Source organism: Homo sapiens, chromosome 11 (genome assembly GCF_000001405.40).
Source record: "Homo sapiens chromosome 11, GRCh38.p14 Primary Assembly".
NCBI classification, from domain to species: Eukaryota; Metazoa; Chordata; class Mammalia; order Primates; family Hominidae; genus Homo; species Homo sapiens.
This window is the reverse complement of record NC_000011.10, coordinates 56,664,619-56,670,180: the sequence shown is the minus strand read 5'-3', so window position 1 is coordinate 56,670,180 and position 5,562 is coordinate 56,664,619. Positions and strand designations below refer to the sequence as shown.

The following is a 5,562-nucleotide window of genomic DNA, read 5'->3' as shown; positions in this document are numbered from 1 at the left end:
TTTACTTAACTCAAATCAGTATTTTAATTTGACAGTCTGATCTCATCAAATATTCCCTGAAAAAGCAGAAGAAAAGCTTTTCATTTGTACTAAAACTCAGATACTCAGGACACAGTCTTACACCAAGATTTCTCCTTATTTTTTCCATCCTGAGTTTCCAAAACTCTGACATATAGGGCATTTTGTTTTGTCTTCAGGTGAGTCAATGGTTCTGTGAGAGGAAGATGCCTTGAAAGATGGAGTCAATAAACACAAACTTCACTGTCACTGAATTTGTGTTCCTGGGGTTGTCCTCTGAACCAAAGATACAGCTTATTCTTTTTATTATGTTCTTGTTCTATTTATCAACGGTGGCTGGAAATGTTATAATCATCACTATTATCTAGATGGAACCTCTCCTCCAAACCCCCATGTACTTCTTCCTCACTAATTTATCCTTTCTGGACATTTGCTACACATCCACCAATGTCCCCCAAATGCTGTCCAACATGGCGGGGAAAAAGAACACCATCTCATTCTCCAGCTGCGCTACTCAGATGTACTTCTCCCTCTCCTTTGGAATGATTGTGTCCTCCTTGGTGTCATGGCTTATGACAGATATGTAGCCATTTGTCATCCTCTTCATTATACCTTCATTATGGACCAAAACACCTGCATTCAACTGGCAGTTATTTCTTGGTCCAGTAGCTTCCTGAGTTCCATGGTTATCAATGTTCTCACGTTGAGTTTGCCCTACTGTGGGCCTAATATCCTGAATCACTTTTTCTGTGAGGTACTTTCTGTCCTGAGGTTGGCTTGCACCAACACCTCATTCACAGAGCTGGTTGTTTTTATCTTCAGTATCATCATTGTCTTCATCCCTTTCCTCCTCATTGTTGTTTCCTATGTCCGGATCCTTCAATCTGTTCTCAGGATGCGGTCAGCCTCTGGGCGGTATCAGGCATTATCCACCTGTACCTCCCATTTGACAGTGGTAACCTTATTTATGGGACTGCCATCTTCATGGACATGAGACCACAGTCGAGGTCCTCCTGGGCTGGCGGCAAGATCATTGCGGTTTTCTACACGGTGGTCACACCCATGCTTAACCCCTTGATTTACAGCCTGAGGAACCAAGATGTGAAAGGAGCTCGAAGGAGAGCTATTGCAAAGCAGAGGATGTGACAGCTGTTAATGAGACACTAACCTTCACTCTTAATCTAACATAATTACCTTCTGATTATGAAGTGATAGAGTAAAAAGTAGCTTAGACAGTCAACATCTGCCCTGCCATTTATAAAGGACACATAAACCCAGGTGTAAATTCAGCAGAAAAAAATGTTTCCTCCAAGCACATGGCAGGGCTTTAATGTGTCCAAACAACTCCCTTCATTGAGCTACTGCTCTTATGTTACTCACTGAAAAACAAAACAAAACAAAACAAAACACCTGTTTCTTTAAAGTCACAGACTATCTGAAATTAATTTTTTGAAATTTTGTCAGTGAGGTGAAATATTTTTCTCTGTGCTTGAGAATCTAAGTCACTTTGATCCAGAGGAGAAATCTCAATTTCCAACTCAGGTGCAGGAATTCAGATTAAAGGTTTTTTAATGCAACAGTCCGCATCTGTGTTAATTTTGTAGTTTCCAGGAAAACAAGACCCCGCATCTACTTTTTGGTTTGGACTTATCATTGTTCCCTTTGCGTATCCTACTTTGTAATATTCTATCAAAATATTGCTTCATTTAAATTTCACCTAAACTCATTTCTTCCTACAAATCCTGTGATAGCTCTATTTCTTCCTGTGTTTGAAGAAATAGTCCATGGTTCTCCTGATGTGTGTTCCCTATCTTTGAAATGGGTCAGAAGCATCTTAATTTGTCTATGTATAAGTTTGTTCCTGGTGACCTTAGACTAATTGTGTATACAAGAGGATGGCAATGATCAGAAGCAGAAGATTTGGTCACATATTAATTAACATGTTAAAGGATTCATTTATTCATTGATAGCCTATTATTGTATGACTATGTAATATAATGTTAAACAGAATAGAAATGTGTCTTTTCCTCAAAGCATATATATGTCATATACTTATTGTCTATGTTATATACATTATACATAAATTGACAAATTTTGATAGCTGTAATAAAGAAATAATTTTCAAGAGGCAGTAATAGGCAATAGGTAAGATGTCCTCCTCTGAGGAGGTTGCATGCAAGGACCAGAAAGAGATATAAGAGAAAGATTGAGGTCTTTCTTAGTAAGGAGATGTTGGACCAAAACTGGAGATGTAAAAGAGTGGTGCTGCCTTTGAGGAAATAAACCAGAGCATTGGAGGTCTGGCTGGGGAAGCAGCTGCTAGCCCATGCAAGGCTGAGGGACTGTGGGGAGCAGTAGAGGCTTATTCTTAGTAAAATGTAAGTATTCTGAAGAAGAATGATACAGCACAGCTAACGTTTTCATCAGATTTTTCTGTGTGGTGTGTGGTGGACCTTAACTAGCAGCACACATTTGTGAAAAAGAGCATTTCCAGCATTTTGATGCTTTTCAGCCAGTATGTTGAAGGAAAATTATTCTTTGAAGTAGAAGAGTAGCTAAATATAATTTAGTATTAATAAAATTAATAAATGATTAATATTATTAATATTTAATTAATATGGTCTGTGATTTACACATTATTAAATTAGAGACAAACTCTAAAAGTTTCTCACTGGTTTATTCAACAATGTAGAGTAAAATTTTTTTTTAAAGTTCATCTTTCAGATATATCCAACAACTAAAATGAAACAATTTTTTTCTAACTAAATATAAAGATCATATATAAACAGTAAATAAGACATATCTAATTGCATAGGTAGAGTAGACATCACTGACTTAAAATTAAAAATATTTCAAAAGCTAAAAGCAAAATCACTAGCCAAATAATCAAATTCTTTACACAGTAGTTTTTTTTCTTTGTTGTTGCTTTTTATATTCACCTTGCTTTATGGATGACTCGATATATTTTATATTTGATTAATATGTAAAGTAGGAATAGAAATATATAGTTTAACAAATTTCCTTTTGAACATTTTATTAAAAGTAAAAGTAACATTTAAAATTCTCTCAGACATTATCAAATAAACAAGCATGTTTAGCAGTTAACTATTTATAATTCAGAAACATATTGTATTAGTTTTAAAAAAACACAAAATATCTAAATGTATATTCAATTAAAACATTTATTTTTTGATTCACAATATTATTAGCCCATCTTACCCAAGAGGTAATGATGAAATTCATTCTAAAAATGAATGAATTGAAAATGCAGAAAACATTGCGAAACCCTTCTCATAAGGGCGCTTAGCTTTTATAAATATATAAAACAAGTGGAAGTAAATATTTGCTTTTTAGCAATTCATTATTTAACGCAATGATCTCCAATTCCATCCATGTTTTTGCAAATGACTGGATCTCATTCTTTTTTTTTTTATGGCTGAATAGTAAACAGAAAAGAATGAATAAGACCTATTATTTAATAGCACAATAGGGTGACCGTAGTCAATAATAACTTAATTGTGTATTTTGAAATAACTTAAAGAATGTAATTTGATTATTTGTAACTCAAAGGATAAATACTTGAGGGGATGGATACTCCATTCTTCATGACATGCTTATTTCACATTGCATGTCTGTATCAAAACATCTCATGTAAGCCATAAATATGTACACCTACTATGTACCCACAAAAATTAAAAATAAATAAAAAATAATAACTTAAAATAAATAAAATGAGGATAATGTCTACTTCAAATGATCATTATATGAATTTAATAAGATTTAAAGTGGTTTGTTTATTGTGTGAGTACAGGAAATGAGAAAAGTTAGCCCTGTAGCCACAAGGTCACTGATTAGAGACTTAGCAATGGGATTCCAAGATTCCTGATTCTAAGGCAATTGCTCTTTCAGTTATAACATACCCTTGGTTTGTAGTTAATGGGATAGGAAAGCCCTTTTTTTTCTTACATTTCACAGAGCATACATGATTTTCACAATGGTGAAAAAAAGAAACTGAAGGCTAGAGCTGGACTGTTTCTGAACTGTCAACTCTGTATCTGTGCATTAGCTGCAGGTGGTTCTTTCCCCAAAATGAGTTATGATGTGACTAATTTTAAACTAGATCAATTACAACTTGTGTACAGATAAACCCCAGTAAATCCTAGGTTTTTTATCTTAAAAACTCTTCAGTGCCTTTCATGATGAATATGGCAGCTCTATACTTTAAGGCAACCATTGTGTTTCCCTGACTTTTAACTATGTTACACTGGAGGAAGGGTTGAAATAGAAAGATGATTGATTACAAGTATTCAAAACTGTTATTGTGACAGAATTTCAGCACATCTGGGAAAATGTTAGCTTATCCAAGATCTCAATCTGCTGCTGATACCTGACATTCTTGTTTTCAATTGAATATTTTGTAGCCTTTAGAACATGTGAATAAAAATTATATAATTTTTTCTTGTTAGTCATTCCTACATCAGGATTAATGAGACTGTTCTTTGAAAAGGGCCTGCTGATGCTGGTGAAGGGCATGGAGACCCATGGCATCCCAGGGAAAGCTAGGGTCTAATTAAGATACAAGACAGTACTAATTTTAGATGGGAGCAGGTAAGCTAACCTTGTAGACATAACAATCTTGCTAAAATCAGCCTTAGAGATTGCATCCAGCTTTATCTTTCTTAGAGCCCCAGAATTATTGGATTTCCTCTGAGGGCCAAGAAGATGTCAATATATACAGTTGACAAAACTATGATGCCTACTCCTTTTTAACATTAGGTAGAGAAGGTCAAAGAAATCCTGTGGTTATTAGTTGAACCCACCCACTTGACCCACTAAAGGGAAAGCTGAGGACAGAAAAAGAAGACGATTTTATTCCCTGATTATAGCTAGTCACCAGCAGAACTTAAATATCTGGCTCTTATCCTTGGACTTCGCATAGTCACTGATTTGTTACCAGTGACAGCAGATTCAGAGAGACAATACAGTCACTGGAAGCACAGCAAACTCCTTGTTGGCAAAAAGCCTTGTGTTTATATCCTCTAGAACCTGGCACATACATAACACTTAAAATTTTTTGCTAAATATATGAATGGATAGAACTCAGACTGAGTTACATTGTCCCTCACACCAGCCTCATTCTCCATGTTTTTAACTACATTTTCTCTGACTTCTTTTGAGAGTAAAAAAAATTTCAACATTTGGACCTGGCATTCCTCATGACCCCAGGGGAAAAAAAATTGTTCAGAGTTATTGACTATTTCTTTCTCTTACTGAGTCCTGTCCCAGTTTCTAATTAATATGTGAACCAACTTTAAATAAGAAATGAATGTATTTTGCCCAGTATGTCTTTCAAATATACTAATTTAGTTTATATTTCTTTCAGATTGCAGAGTTAAGGATTAGAGCCCACCCTTCAGAATTTAATATTCACTTAGCAAGGAGATGGTAACTTGGGTAGTGTTTATCGAAAAGTTATTTGCATTTTCTATGCCCTTCTACTACTGTCATTTACCTATGACAGAAACAGATTTTCATTTTGTGTTA

At 34.9% G+C, this 5,562-nt stretch overlaps 1 pseudogene; it reads left to right on the top strand.

Annotated features, from left to right (window-relative positions):
- On the top strand, positions 237 to 1,161 carry OR2AH1P (olfactory receptor family 2 subfamily AH member 1 pseudogene; annotated as a pseudogene).